This window comes from Homo sapiens, chromosome 8 (genome assembly GCF_000001405.40).
Source record: "Homo sapiens chromosome 8, GRCh38.p14 Primary Assembly".
Classification (NCBI taxonomy): domain Eukaryota; kingdom Metazoa; phylum Chordata; class Mammalia; order Primates; family Hominidae; genus Homo; species Homo sapiens.
This window is the reverse complement of record NC_000008.11, coordinates 127,851,610-127,866,304: the sequence shown is the minus strand read 5'-3', so window position 1 is coordinate 127,866,304 and position 14,695 is coordinate 127,851,610. Positions and strand designations below refer to the sequence as shown.

The 14,695-nt window shown below is 49.9% G+C and overlaps 1 long non-coding RNA gene across 51 annotated transcripts in view, besides 4 other annotated features; it reads right to left on the bottom strand.

Annotated features, from left to right (window-relative positions):
- The window catches only part of PVT1 (Pvt1 oncogene), a 306,733-nt gene that overhangs the window by 234,952 nt on the left and 57,086 nt on the right, over positions 1-14,695 (bottom strand). For 6 of the 51 annotated variants that reach the window (NR_186146.1, NR_186119.1, NR_186137.1 and 3 more), the window contains one exon: positions 10,986-11,150. The exons of 44 other annotated variants lie outside the window; for them this stretch is intronic. This is a non-coding gene — a long non-coding RNA (Pvt1 oncogene). The remainder of the gene's footprint in view (positions 1-10,985; positions 11,151-14,695) is intronic. One more of the 51 variants, NR_186121.1, reaches the window with a different exon arrangement.
- Positions 10,847-11,698: an enhancer, noted in NCBI's record as "OCT4-NANOG-H3K27ac-H3K4me1 hESC enhancer chr8:128866853-128867704 (GRCh37/hg19 assembly coordinates)". NCBI's record gives its function as "activates a minimal SCP1, AML or CMV promoter by ChIP-STARR-seq in naive H9 embryonic stem cells {active_cell/tissue: H9 hESC(naive)}" and the evidence as "EXISTENCE:reporter gene assay evidence [ECO:0000049][PMID:30033119]".
- Positions 10,847-12,133: a biological region, named in NCBI's record as "MED14-independent group 3 enhancer GRCh37_chr8:128866418-128867617".
- Positions 10,934-12,133: an enhancer, noted in NCBI's record as "MED14-independent group 3 enhancer chr8:128866418-128867617 (GRCh37/hg19 assembly coordinates)". NCBI's record gives its function as "activates an origin of replication core promoter dependent on BRD2, BRD4, P300/CBP and CDK7 cofactors, and independent of MED14, by STARR-seq in HCT116 cells {active_cell/tissue: HCT116}" and the evidence as "EXISTENCE:reporter gene assay evidence [ECO:0000049][PMID:35650434]".
- Positions 13,399-14,248: an enhancer, noted in NCBI's record as "H3K27ac-H3K4me1 hESC enhancer chr8:128864303-128865152 (GRCh37/hg19 assembly coordinates)". NCBI's record gives its function as "activates a minimal SCP1, AML or CMV promoter by ChIP-STARR-seq in naive H9 embryonic stem cells {active_cell/tissue: H9 hESC(naive)}" and the evidence as "EXISTENCE:reporter gene assay evidence [ECO:0000049][PMID:30033119]".

Sequence of the window (14,695 nt, the reverse complement as noted above, 5' to 3'; positions counted from 1 at the left end):
TACACAGACAGCTCACGAGGGTCCCATCAGCAGGAGTTGGGATACGTGTTATGGAAAACCATGAGGGTGCTGGGCCCAGAGCAGGGACACAGCCAGCAGATATGATCAGCTTGAGGAGTAGGTCGTCTGGGGCCTAAGGGTACTGGTAAAGGGCTCCTGAGAACGCCAACAGACCAACAATTTAAACAGCAGGGCAGGAGAGGAAGGGGTCCCTAATGCACCAACACGCCATCCTGGCCAGGCAGCCGGAGGCAGGGCTGCGCTGTCAGAGGGAGAAGCCATGGGCATGTGAATTTATGCAAGCCCCTTTATCTCGCTGATCTGCAAACCCTGCCTACTTAAGCCATCCCTGCCAGGTCACCAGGCAGCTTCAGTGGCCCAACTCACTGATGATCACACCCAAACAAGGGTTTGCCTGCCGGTGCCACACTCAAAGGACATTTCCCTTGGACTGCCCTCAGCTCCCACTCCCCACAGGCTGGATGCCAGGCTGGCCATCAAATGCTGCGCCCATTGCATTCACTTCCTAGGGCTGCCGGAACAAACTAGTACAAACTCAGAGGCTTAAATCCACCCACATTTATTATGATACAGTTCTGAACATACAAAGTTCAAAGTGGGTCTCACTGAGTGTTAGCAGGACTGTGTTCCTTCCTGGAGGCTCTGGGGGAGTTCCTATTTCCTTGCCTTTTCCAACTTCTAGGGACGGTTATTCCTTGTCTCATGGCTCCTTCCTCCATCCTCAAAGCCAGCAATGTTACTTGTCACCTCACATGTTTCTGAACCCTTCTTCTGCCTCTCTCGCCCACTTGTAAGGACTCTGTGATGAGACTGGGCCCTCTGGATAATCTAAAAGGATCTCCCTCTTTTAAGGTCAGCTTTAATTCCACCTGTGACTTTAATTTCCCTTCTCTGTATGGCATATGACATCCCCATGTTCCAGAGATCAGGATGTGAACCTCTTTGGGGGAAGCATAATTCTGTCTGCCACACCCAGGTTTATCCCCATCCTCAGGCTGCCGTTCAATATCTGCAAAGCCCCCAGATTGGCACCTACCACCTTGTCCTTCTGAAAAAGCCAGGACCATCCTGATTCCAGTGACCCCTGGATGATTTCAACCACCTCCCCATCCTGAGAATCCTCGTCCAAATTGAGGTGCAGTAATGTGGTGCCCACTTCAGGATGAAGAAATAGTGGCAAGAGACTCGCCCAGGGCCACACAGCTCTAAGAATGAGATGTGGGATTGGAACACTGGTGTTCAAGCAGGCCTGCCGTCTACAGCCCCATATGAATCCCAAGCACTCAGACTAGTTCTGGTCTTAGATCCTCTTAGCCAGGTCCCTCTAGGACAAGATGGCCTCTGTCACCTCCATCTGGTGCTTTGGTAGGCAAGAGGACCTCTATCTCTAGTTCCCGCGGCCTCCACTGAGAATTTCTCTGTGTTAGAAATATCCTGGCTGGGCGCAGTGACTCATGCCTGGAATCCCAGCACTTTGGGAGGCTGAGGCGGGCGGATCACGAGGTCAGGAGATCGAGACCATCCTGGCTAACATGGTGAAACCCCATATGTACTAAAAATACAAAAAAAATAGCCGGGCGTGGTGGTGGGCGCCTGTAGTCCCAGCTACTCAGGGGGCTGAGGCAGGAGAATGGCGTGAACCCGGGAGGCGGAGCTGGCAGTGAGCCGAGATCGCGCCACTGCACTCCAGCCTGGGTGACAGAGCAAGACTCTGTCTCAAAAAAAAAAGAAAGAAATATCCTGCCACATTCAACACATGTCCGTGTGAAAAGCAACAGGAAAAGAATAAGAGAAGGAGCGAGGGGTGGGAGAGAAATCAACATTTATTGAATGCTTGCCAAGGGCCAGGAGCAGGCATCCAGTTACTGAATCTTGCCCACAAACCCTGACGGCAGGCCTCATTAGCTCCATTTTACAGACAGGAGGCTGAGGCTCCCAGAGATTGGAAGCATGCCCAGACTCATGCAGCGGGGGACTGGCAGGGCCCCAGTTCCAGCCGGCAGGCTCTCTCCCCTCCCCAGGTGTCCTTCATCCCTGCTCACCCAGGACCCCAGCATTCCAACCCACACTGAATTGACCTGACCCCTTCACCCCACGTAACCTTTCTTTCCTGCCCCACCCCCACTGCAAACCACACCCCACCTGCAGCTTCTCTGGCCTGGAGCTTGATTGGTTTCAAGCTTCAGCTTGTGAGGAAAGAGGCTTCTTTCCCCTTGGATGGCAGGCCCAGGAAAGCCATGCAGGGTTTAGGGCAGGGATGTGCCAATCACCTGGAAGCCGGTCCCAACCTTTCCCCTACATCTCGCTCCATCCGCGCTGAGCCAAAATAACCTGGAATCAGTGATGCCAGCGGGCATGGGGGCAAAGGCCTGGCACCTCAGCAACTCTTACCACTCTCATCCAGGCACCAAAGCAAAGCCCTGGCCACAGGTACACAGGGTCCTGAGGGATCCAGCTTGAAGGTGGGCCCAGACACCGGGTCCCAGATCTGCCAGGTCCAAGCTGAGGGGCCTCAAGCAAGTCATTCTACCCCTCTGGGCTTTGGCTTCCAAGCTAAGCACTGTGCTAAGTGCTGCAGCAACACATACCAAATGATAAAAGAGACATGATCGCTGTCCTTAGCAGAGAAGCTGATATTACAAAAATGTTCCCACAAGCACACACCTAAGTAAGAAATTGCAATTGGTGCAACAAAGGAGAAGTCCACCCCCGACGCCAACAGCTGATTTAGGGGTTTAAGGTGGGGCTCCCAGAAGAGATGACTTTTAAACTGACACCTGAAGTTAGTAGGATTTTTTGTTTATGAAGACAGAAGGGAAGAGAGAAGTTCCTTGGCAAATGCCACTCACCTGAGAACATTAAAAACTGGCAACTGGCCAGGCACGGTGGCTCATGCCTGTCATCCCAGCATTTTGGGAGGCTGAGGCAGAAAGATCATGAGATCAGGAGTTCGAGACCAGCCTGGCCAACATAGTGAAACCCCATCTCTACTAAAAATGCAAAAAATTAGCTGGCGCAGTGGCGGACACCTGTAATCCCAGCAACTCGGGAGGCTGAAGCAGGATAATTGCTTGAACCCAAGAGGCGGAGGTTGCAGTGAGCCGAGATCATGCCACTGCACTCCAGCCTGGGTGACAGAGCAAGACACGGTCTCGGAAAAATAAATAAATAAATAAATAAATAAATAAATAAATAAATAAATAAAACTAGCAACTGCCCAGATTAATGGGGTAGATCCTTGTATTCACTTGCAAAGCATGGTTTGGTATCACAATCAGATGCAGATTTGTAAAGAAATGTCCCCCATAGAAATGGAGGTGTCGAATCCAGGGACAGGATGCCTAACAAAGGGGACTTACTGTGGGGCACCCCGGTTCCACCATCTGCAAAATTCACAAGTTAATCAAGACAGATCTTACAAATCAATGAGAAAAAAATTGCTAACACCCCAAAGGAAATGACCAGTTAACAAACACAAATAAGCCATAAACATGAAAAGCTGGCCAACCACACCAGTAGTCAAAGAAAAGCAACTTTATAACAAGATAGTTCCCCTCATGTTTTAAGAGTTTGCTGCAGGCTATGGCTCAACCCATAATTCCAGCATCTGGGGAGTCCAGGATTGCCCGAGGCCAGGAGTTTGAGACCAGCCTGGTAACATAGTGAGACCTCATGTGTACAAAAAATATTTTAAAATTAGCTGGGCATAGTGGTGTGCACCTGTGGGAGGCTGAGGTGGAAGAATCTCTTGAGCTTGGGAGGTCTAAGCTATGAACTATGAACTGAGCTATGAACGTATCATTGCAATCCAGCCTGGGTGAAAAAGCGAGACCCTGTCTCTAAAAAATAAAAATTAAAAGTTAATTTTTTTTTTTTGAGATGGAGTCTCACTCTGTCTTTCAGGCTGGAGTGCAGTGGTATGATCTCAGCTTACTGCAACCTCTGCCTCCTGGGTTCAAGCAATTCTCCTGTCTCAGCCTCCTGAATAGCTGGGATTATAGGCACCTGCCACCACGCCTGGCTAATCTTTGTATATTTAATAAAGATGGGGTTTCACCATGTTGGCCAGGCTGGTCTCGAACTCCTGACCTCAAGTGATCCACCCACCTCGACCTCCCAAAGTGCTGGGATTACAGGCGTGAGCCAACGCGCCCAGCCAGAAAAGTTAAAATTTTTTTAAAAGAGTTTGCTGCAGTAATTAGAATGCTCACACTATTGGAGGCTGCCTCAGCAACCCCTAATATTGCCTGTGGAGTGGTGACTGGTTAAATACTCCTCAACAGCAAGCTGGGAATGCATCAAGACCCTATTAAATTCCTGGGGTGTGGGTGGCTCTGCCAAGAAAACAATCAGAGACACATGAAAAGGTTTATACCTTGCAACAGGTAAAAGCAGAGGAAATCTGAAAGCCCCGCAGGACTGACTTGGCTGATGATTAGCAATGACAATGACAATAATACCAGTAGCAGGCAACATGCGCCCAGTACCTGCTCTGTGCCTGGTACTAGCGAGGGGCTTTGACAACTTTCTTCACCTCATCCTCGCAACAACCCCATGTAGAAGGGGTTCTTATTTTCCCCATTTTACAGAGAAGAAAAACCTACTTATGGAGTACCTTTCCTGTACAGGTGCATAATGAAATATGGAAAAGATATTCAAAACAAGTTTTTAAAACTTTAAAAGACATAGAGGAGATGGTCATAATATAAGTTAAAAAAAAAAACATGTCAAAAACAAAACCATCTGAAAGCAAGACAACAAGATGTTAAGGGTGACTATTGCTAAGTGTCAGAATGATGGGTGATAATTACGGGTGATCTATATTTGATCAATTTTTAGTAGAGGCAGGGTTTTGCCATGTTGGCCAGGCTGGTCTCAAACTCCTGACCTCAGGTGATCCACCCGCCTTGGCCTCCCAAAGTGCTGGGATTACAGGTGTGAGCCACGGCGCCCAGCCTGCACCCATGCTTTTGTCCAAAGTCCTAGTCATCGACCTGTTTGAGAAGTGGCTCCCATCAGAAACAAGTGGCCCAACTGTGCCACTTGAAACTCTGTCTCAATAAAAAAGGATAGTTAGTTGGAAGCCTAGCTAGGTGGAAGGCTGGTTAGATGAAAGGGTGGCTGGGTGGAATAAAATACAGAAGAATGGTTGGGAGAAAAAAACATGGAAGGGTAGAAGGAAAAACAGAAGCATAGGAGAAAGGGGATATTGAGGTGAAATCACCAGGAAGAGGTGAGGTAATAGGTCCAAGGCAACACGATATCAGTACACCAATGAGGAGGGAGGCTGGGGACACGTCCACAGTGGCATCCCAAGTTCACGCCTCTACCATGGGTCATAAGCCACCATTCTGTGCATGTTTCAATGTGAAAGACACTCTTCAAGGAGCCCCTTGCCCTTGAGAAGGTCACCGAGTAGGAGGGAGAGAAATGGCCACCTGACCAAGTGCTAAACTCCACAGGAGACAGAAAGCTCACAGTTGTCGCCTTGTCTTCTCCTTTTTTTTTTTTTTTTTTTTGAGATTGGGTCTTGCTCTGTCACCCAGGCTGGAGTGCAGTGGCGTGATCTCGACTTACTACAACCTCCACCTCCTGGGTTCAAGCAATTCTTCTGCCTCAGCCTTCCGAGTAGCTGGGATTACAGGCACGTGCCACCACGCCCAGCTAATTTTTTTGTATTTTTAGTAGAGACGGGGTTTCACCATGTTGACCAGGCTAGTCTTGAACTCCTGACCTTGTGATCCGCCCACCTTGGCCTCCCGAAGTGCTGGGATTACAGGCCTGAGCCACCATGCCCAGCTGCCTTGTCTTCTCTACAGGGCTGCCTATCAGCAAAGCATCAACCTAGTGAATCTCCCCCATAGTACTCCCTGAGCTCCGAAGCTCCGAGAAAAAGTTTTCCCCCAAAGGCTCCTCTCCGGAGTGCTCAGCCCTGTGCTTGCCTTCTGAAGATGCCTTCGAGAAGACTTTGGTTCTGGCGGTTCCTGGCAGAGGAGCAGCCTGTTGCTGGTCCCACACCGCACCCCAGTGCCCAGAGCTGGAAGCCGATTCTGCCAGGAGCCGGCCTCCTGCGCCAGCACCTCCGCCACCAGGACCTGCTCCTCGTCTCCTGGAGCTCACTGGGAGCCGGTTCTCTTCACAGAGCAGCCCCATGGTTCTAGGAAGTGGCCCTGCCCAGAGGCACACACACCGTTCCTGGTAGCCCTGGAGTGTCATCAGTTCTCATCACCGCTGGCAGCCGCAGCCAGTCACGGGGTCCGTGTGAAAGGAGGTGTTCACGGGGCTTGATGTCACAGCATTATTCCTGGGGCTCACCACACCCAGGTGGAGATGACACACGAAAGGAGGGAAGAGAAAGTGATCTCCCCTCAGGATCTGTATGACTCAGCCTCTCTGCTTGTAGAGACAAAGAAACAAATGACGGCCAAGGGCCTCCGTGCATGAGAATCTCCTGCAACTACCTTCGACCTAGATGGTATCATCCCCATGGTACAGATAAGGCGATTGAGGCTAGGACAGGTTCAATAAATAGCAGGCCCGAGATTCAACCCCAGGTGACTCTAAAGCCCAAATCTGACTCCTGCACAGATTTCTCCAAGTTCAGCATGGCCCTGAGCCTGCTCCGTTTAGACAGAAGCCATGACGGGATTCCACAGGACCAGGGCAGCCAGGACTCTGGCGGGGAGTCAGACCTGTGTGAATAGTTCGCAGGCCAGCAGTGGATATTTCTGTCCTAACCTCATAGCTTCTTATGTGAGGTTACTGTCTGTGCCATGTTTGCCACTTAATTATTTAGGAGGAGCAGTCTAGGGTCGTAGGAAGGAAGCAAGCTCCAAAAACAGAGACCAGAGTTCAAGTTTGGAGTCAGCCACGGCGTAATATGAGAAAGCTGCTTCATCTACCTGCTGTTCCTCAATAGAAGGTCATGGCCGGTATGAGGTGGGCACCCAAATACATTGTTCCTAGTCTTTCTTCACCTGCCTCGCAAGATAAGAAGCCCAGACCTGGTTGTTCTGTGTGTTCTAAGAATACAACAACACAGGCAGTTGAAGAGCCAAGCCGACAATCAAAATTGTCCAAAATGAGACAGCCAACTACAGACAAGCATAAGAAGGTTGTGAGGAAGAAAATACTCAATTTATCTCACTTAAGAGTGCCATTACAAACGAGCCTTCAGGCCAGGTGTGGTGGCTTATGCTGGTAATCCCAGCACTTTGGGAAGCTAAGACGGGAGAATCACTCGAGCTCTGGAGTTGAAGACCAGCCTGGGCAACATAGCAAGACCCTGTCTCTACAAAAAGTAAACAAATTAGTCAAGCGTGGTGGCACACACCCAAAGTCCCAGCTATTCAGGAGGCTGAGGCAGGAGAATCATTTGAACCCAGAAGCTCAAGGTTACAATGAGCTATGATAGCACCACTGCTCTCCGGCCTAAGCAAGACCCTGTCTCAAAAAAAAAAAAAAAAAAAAAAAAAAAAGAATCTTCAAGTGTAGTCCACAAGAGAAAAAGAAAAAAAAAGAAACCAAGTGGTGACTGAAAGTCACAGAACTGCTTGCTGTACATTAGTAGATTTCATAGGAAACTACTATAATGGCCACCATCTATGGGCCAGTTGCAGTTCCAGAAATCCTTGTACAATAATCATTCCTTTACAGAAAACAGGCTTGAAATTTTCCATCAAAAATAGAAAGTCCACTTTGACATCTGGCCTTTTGGCCAATATTTAAGATGTCTGTTTTCAAAAAGTGCCCATGTTAAAACTTGTCTCCATATCACTCACATGCATTCTGCAGAAGGTAACCTATGCCCAAACCGAAACCTCAAGACCATCTTTTATTTATTTATTTATTTATTTATTTATTTATTTATTTATTTTGAGACAGAGTCTCACTCTGTCACCCAGGCTGGAGTGCAATGGCACAATATCCGCTCACTGCAACCTCCGCCTCCCAGGTTCAAGTGATTCTCCTGCCTCAGCCTCCCTGGTAGCTGGGATTACAGGCACCCGCCACCATGCCCGGCTAATTTTTGTATTTCCAATAGAGACACAAAATACACCATGTTGTATTTCACCATGTTGGACCGGCTGGTCTTAAACTCCTGACCTCAAATGATCCAGCCGCCTTGGCCTCCCAAAGTGCCGTGATTATAGGCATGAGCCACCACACCCAGCCTAAGACCACCTTTCTGGTGACAAGTTTGAATCTTTGGGGATTTCTCACACCAAAGATGATAACTGAATTCAGAATCATGGATCCCTGACAGCACTCCAAAGATTCTGAACATTCAACTCCATTCTCTTTATTTCCTTAACTCACATTTCCTCTCTTCTCAACCCAGAGTTTAACTTCATCACACTCCACCATACGAATCAGAGCACTTTGAAGACTCATTTGAAGACGGTTTCAACTCACAAAAGAAAACACAAATGATTTAATATCCATTCATTCATTCGACCAATATTTATGAAACTTCTCCCAAGTGCCAGGCAATGCCAGGAGAGGGGAGAACATGAGGGTAAAAAAGCAATAAACAATGTCAGAAAATGTGGATGCTCCTCCCTTTCTGTACCTAATTGTTTTTGCTTTGTTTTGTTTTGTTTTTTGAGGCAGTCTCACTCTGTGGCCTAGACTGAGTGCAGTGGTGTGATCACTGCACACTGCAGCTTCCAACTCCAGAGCTCAACCAATTCTCCCATCTCCTCCTCTTTCACCTACTGAGTAGCTGGGACTATAGGCACACACCACCATGCCCAGCTAATTTTTTATTTTTTGTAGAGATGGGACCTCACTATGCTGTCCAGGCTAGTCTCAAACTCCTGGACATACTCCATCCTCCTGCCTCAGCCTCTAAAAGTGCTGGGATTACAGGCAGGAGCCACCATGCCCCAGCCTGTCCCTAACTGTTGAGAGTCCCTGGGGGAACCGAGCTGCCTCTTCTTATAACCAAGTCATCAAGAGCCCAAAAGAGGTCTTATTCATCTCAGTATCCCAGAACAATGTAGGCACATGGTAAGCACTCTCGGATTATTATTATATTACTATTATTATTATTTTTTAGGCAGAGTCCTGCTCCGTATCCCAGGGTGGAGTACAGTGGCACAATGTTGGCTCACTGCAACTTCTTCCTCCCATGTTCAAGCAATTCTCCTGCCTCAGCATCTCGAGTAGCTGGGATTACAGGTGCCTGCCACCACGCTCAGCTAATTTTTGCATTTTTAGCAGAGACAGGGTTTCGCCATGTTGGCCAGGCTGGTCTCGAACTTCTGACCTCAAGCAATCCACCTGCCTCGGCCTCCCAAAGTGCTGGAATTACAGGCATGAGCCACCTCGCCCAGCCCTCGGATTATTTTAGCTTCAGCTTCAGTAACTAATATATCAAATGGGATGACACAAGGATGGAAGGTTTCCCTCCTCACCCCAGGCATAGCGGTTAGGAGAGCACTCTAGGCCTAAATGTTAGCCTTGCTCCTGACTGGCTGTGTAGCCAGGACCAGTTACTGTGACTCTCTAAACCTTAATTTCCTTATCTATTGAATGGGGATAATGACAATACTCCACTGTCATTTACTTATTTAGTCTTCAACAAAAACTCCATTTTAGTCCTCAACAAGAATTCCATTGAGTTAATATAGCTGGCTGGGGCTGGGCGTGGTAGCTCACGCCTGTAATCCCAGCACTTTGGAAGGCCGAGGCAGGAGGATCACCTGAGGTCGGGAGTTCGAGACCAGCCTGACCAACATGGAGAAACCCCGTCTCTATCAAAAATACAAAATTAGCTGGGCGTGGTGGCAGGTGCCTGTAATCCCAGCTACTTGGGAGGCTGAGACAGGAGAATCACTTGAACCTGGGAGGCGGAGGTTACAGTGAGCCAAGTTCATGCCATTGCACTCCAGAGCAAGACTCCGTCTCAAAAAAAAAAAAGAAAAAAAAATATATACGTATGTACAGCTGGCTGGAAGCACTTAGAGTCCTAGGCCTGCCACGCAGTGTCTATAAAAGCCTTCCCAGGACACCCAACCACCTTTCCCAGCCACCCCAGCATACCCCCTAAGCCCTACACATCACATGCCCCATCAAAGCTCTCCACACACCAAAAGGACACTCATCCTTTCGTCTACACATTGGGTAGAGGGCAGGTATGGAAATTCTTCCTTTCAGAGAAGAGGGATGCCCACTCTCATTTTTCTAGAAACAGAGTCCTCAAGTTTCTTGCTCTACTTTTGATAAAGATGTAGGCACAAGAAATATTTCTCATCTCTCTTTTCTAAAAGAATAACAACGGAATGAACTTGAATATAAATGGCAACGTCAGGTGGCCTGGTCAGGGAGGGGCGAGATTATGGAGAAGGGAGTGGGGCATGACCAGGGGACGCTGCTTGTGGGCTCTGGCCAGGGCGGCTGCACAGGTGTGGGGCCCCCACCCCTACCGGCCACACCTTTCATGCCTCCGCTCCTCAGAAGGGAAGCCAGACATTTTCATTTTCACACGAGGTCTATCCATTTTCACAGGTTAGTGATTAGTTCAAAGGATACTTGTTCCAAACACAGGCCCAAGAGAAACGCTGTCCTGAGCAACCTCGCTGGTGGGGGTTCCCGCTCAGTCTGCTGAGGCCTGACATGACGGGAGTTCACCGGGAAAGGTGCTCTCCAGTCTCTCCTGGGGAGTGTGTTATGAATGCAGATTCCAATCCCCTCACCCACTTGTCTCCCTTCCCGGGAGAGAGAAGGGGCTACACTTTAGAAACACTGCTCTAGTCCAGTGTCTGCCAGGGCCAGCAGAAATGTCCCCCCCAAAGCCACCTGACTAAAGGAGGGTGAAGCTGGAACCTGAACCCTAGAGGGTTTCTCTAAGGCCAGAAGACACTTTACAGCGTCAACAAGGGTTTCCCCTTGGGGTCAGCGAGCCATCCAATTTCCGCACACCGGGACCCATTCCCATCCCCCAAGCTCCAGACACTAACCCTTAGGGGTCCTTACAGCCAAGGCCCCCAGCTGCTTCTCCATCCACCTCAGCGATGAAATCCCTCAGGGCTTCACCGGCTCAATCCACAGTGACAGCAGGACTCCTAAGAACACTTTTGTTTCCCCTTAATAGTTGGCTTCCTGCACTGCAGACAGCTATGGTCCTTAGGGAAGATTCCAGCAGCCACGTGGGAGAAAGAGAGACAGAGAGAGAGGAGAGAAACTTAACTTGAATCGGGTAGTTTAAAATAGTAAACTGAGTCAGACAGGTCTGGGGTCAAATCCCAGACATGCTGCTTTCTAACTCTGTGCCTCTGAGTCAGTATCTTCTCCTACTACACCTTCAGTTTCTTCAACCGTGAAATGGGTATAAGGACAGCATCAGCATCTTTGGGTCAGGACAAGAATTCACAACCTCAGTGCACACTGAGCATGCTACCCTGTGCCAATGGATAAATGGTATTCCTGCTCCTGCTTCTTCATGGTATTGCGTAGATTCTCAAGGTCATTTCAAGACACTCACAAAATACGAAGACGCAGGAGATGTGTATGCTCTTCCTGTGGCCCTGCCAGGACACGCGACCCAGCCCTCTCCTCCCGAAATCTTGCCTGGTTCACTCCTGCCTGGACTTGCTGAATCATTGCCCTGGCTGCTTTCCTGTAACTCGGCTGCTGACTTGAACTGAACTCTTCGATGCTGGATCCTGTAAGGCGGACCGAGATTGAGGAATGTATCTCTGAATGCCTGGCATCCAGCCACAGTTCTGTAAAATGACCAGGGCGCGAAAGACCTAGAGTGTCTCTCTGGCATCAGAGAGGGTCACATGACAATTTGGGACCCCTTTAAATGCTCTGAGGGACAGGAAAGCCCAGGAGGGTCCCACAAGGCACTCACTGTCCAGTCCAGGGCTGCACTGTGACTCAGAGGCCTCACTGCTGAGCGATGACTCAGCGGCCCAGCGCAGAGCCAGGGCAGCCATGAGCAAGCCCCTGAGCTGCCTCCAGGAGCAGGGGGTCTTGTGCCAGGCAGGCCGGGCTCGAGTCAGCCCAGAGGAATGCCCCCTGCCCTCCGCCTGTGCCCACTGCCGGAGACTTACGCAGCTGGCATCCCAGCAGTGCTACATGATCTACCTGTCCCTGCGCCAGGGTAAACAGGCAAAACAGGAGCCCTGCTTCCCGGCTGCCGCAGGGGTGAGGCCTGCCTACGGAGGGCAAGGCCATGCTAGATCGGAGGAGGGTGGGCGGCCTTGGGGCAGGAAATGGCTGGGATACCAGCAGGCCTCCTTGCCAGGCTGAAACAAGTTGGCACGTGGGGCTGGGGGCAGAGGAGCCGGGAAGAGAAAACGCCGTACAGAAAGGGCAGGACAGAGCAAGGGCCACGGGATGGGGGCGGGGGTAAAGGAAGGGTCAGTGAAAAGCTGGGATGTAAACAATGCTATAAGATGCTCGTAGACTTAAAAAGCATCGTGCCCCGCCTTTCTTCTCTCTTTATTCACTTTTTTTTTTTGAGACAGTGTTTTTTTGTTTTGTTTTGTTTTTGTTTCTTGTTTTTTGTTTTGAGACAGGCTAGAGTAGAGCAGCACAATCTTGGCTCATTACAGTCTCTGCCTCCCAGGTTGGAGCGATTCTCCTGCCTCAGCCTCCTGAGTAGCTGGGATTACAGGCACCCACCACCACACCCAACTGATTTTTGTATTTTTAGTACAGACAGGGTTTCACCATGTTGCCCAGGTTGGTCTCGAACTCCTGACCTCAGGTGATCCCCCAGCTTTGATCTCCCAAAGTGCTGGGATTACAGGCTCGAGCCATCACGCATGGCTCCTCTCATTCACTTTTAAAGCTCAGTTACGACCACGTGCCCAACATTCAGGTCACACCACACCCCTATGGAAAGGCTCTGCTGCCTCAACTGGACTGAGCTAAAGAGGCCCCTCAAACTCACTCGTGGGGGGCCTCCACTGCTGCCAGCCCTTAGGTCAACCTGAACCTCCACCAGCAGAATCTCCCTCAGCCCATTCCATTTCTTCTCTCAAAATCCTATGCTGCTCACGTTCCACCTCTTCCAGGAAGCCTTCCTAGAGTTGCAGGAGTCACTTTCCCCGGCCTCCTGCTGGGTATGGTTCTTTCACGATTGCATTATAGGAATTCTCTGGGAGGCTATATCTTGTCTCCTCACTTGAAGCCCTGGCCTGGGAAGACTCGCTGTCCTTCTACCATGTACTTCAAGGCTCCACCCACAGCTGATCTTGTCCATGGGAGATGCTCGATAAACTTATGCCAGCTGGGACTTTCCCTGATCTGAAATCTGTATGTCGTGAGAGAGAACCTTGTCTGTTCTCTCAGCAACCACTATGCCAGCCAAAGTCACACTCAGCCACTGTTTCCTGAGTCTCTCTCCACGTCAGCTGGACCCAGTGCAAGGCGCCACAGAGGCAGTGAGGACCAAGTCCTCTGGGCCTACCTCGAGGGCCCCACTGTCTAAGCCAGATCATCAGAACATGTCATAACGTGTGTCCAGAACCTAGAGAACAGCGGGTACCAGGCTGCTGTGTGGATGGAGAGGGAGGAGGGCTGGGCAGGCTTCTTGAATAGTAATAAAGGACCAATAACATCAGCTCACATTTATTGAGCTCTTAGTGTGTGCCAAGGGCTTAACCTGCCTTAATCCTGATAGCAATCTTGCCAGGAAGCCAGGCACTGTACCATTCACTTTACATATGTTAACTCATTCAAACACCAACCCTACGAAATAGATACTGTTAAAATCTCCTATTTCACACAAGAGGATGCTGAGAGCCAGAAAGGTCAATATCATACAACATCACACAGGTGGATTCAAACCCCAGCAGGCTAGAGGCAGAGTCGACGCACTGACCACTTCACCTCACTGCCTCTCTGCCTCAAGGCATCCAAGCAGGAGAATGACTTGCCCAGAAGAGTTTGGATGACTTGCCCAAGGTCCTAAGCTTACTCATGACAAGGAGAGTCACCAGCTCGCTAAACATCCAAGTGTCTCTCCAACAGGCTCCCACAGGCTTCAGCATTAGCGCAATGCAGCTTTCTGACGCCAGGCTCTGCCTTGGAAGCTGCTGATCATGCTGTCTTCCAGCTGTAGTCACTGCTGCTACAGTTTGGAATCCCACACAAAGTAAACACAATTCATCACAGCAATTACTGCAGTGACTCAGTTCCAGGAATTCTGTAACCAGAAATCGAGGCAGCTCCCCAACTGCTGCTGAGCCTGGGTATGGGCTACCCAGAGTCACCTATGGTCAGCCAACAGGCCAGTTTGGCTCCAGATCACCCTTGTAAAGTGCTGGCTGAGCTGCAGCCCTTGGAGATCTAGAGATGAGTCCTCACTTCAGGGTCATCACTCACTTCCCACCTAGGAAGGCAAGAACAGAGACTGTGAGCATGGCGTGGCAACCGGTCTAGAGAATGTGACAGGTTTCTCCAATGAACCAGTCCGGAGCAGCAGGGGCCACAGAGCACAGAGCCCCCAGAAAGACCCCTTATCCCAACCTCACTCCTGCATGGAGAAACCATGGCTAGAGTCTCCACAGCCTGCATCATGATGAATCAGCGCCTGGCTCACGTCTCATCTCTGAGACTCTGGACCCCAGGTGCAGATTCACCCTCCTGAAAGGCTGGGATGAAATGACTCCCGCTGCTTGCCAAGGAGAGGTTACTCCTGCAGTGACTCAGTCTC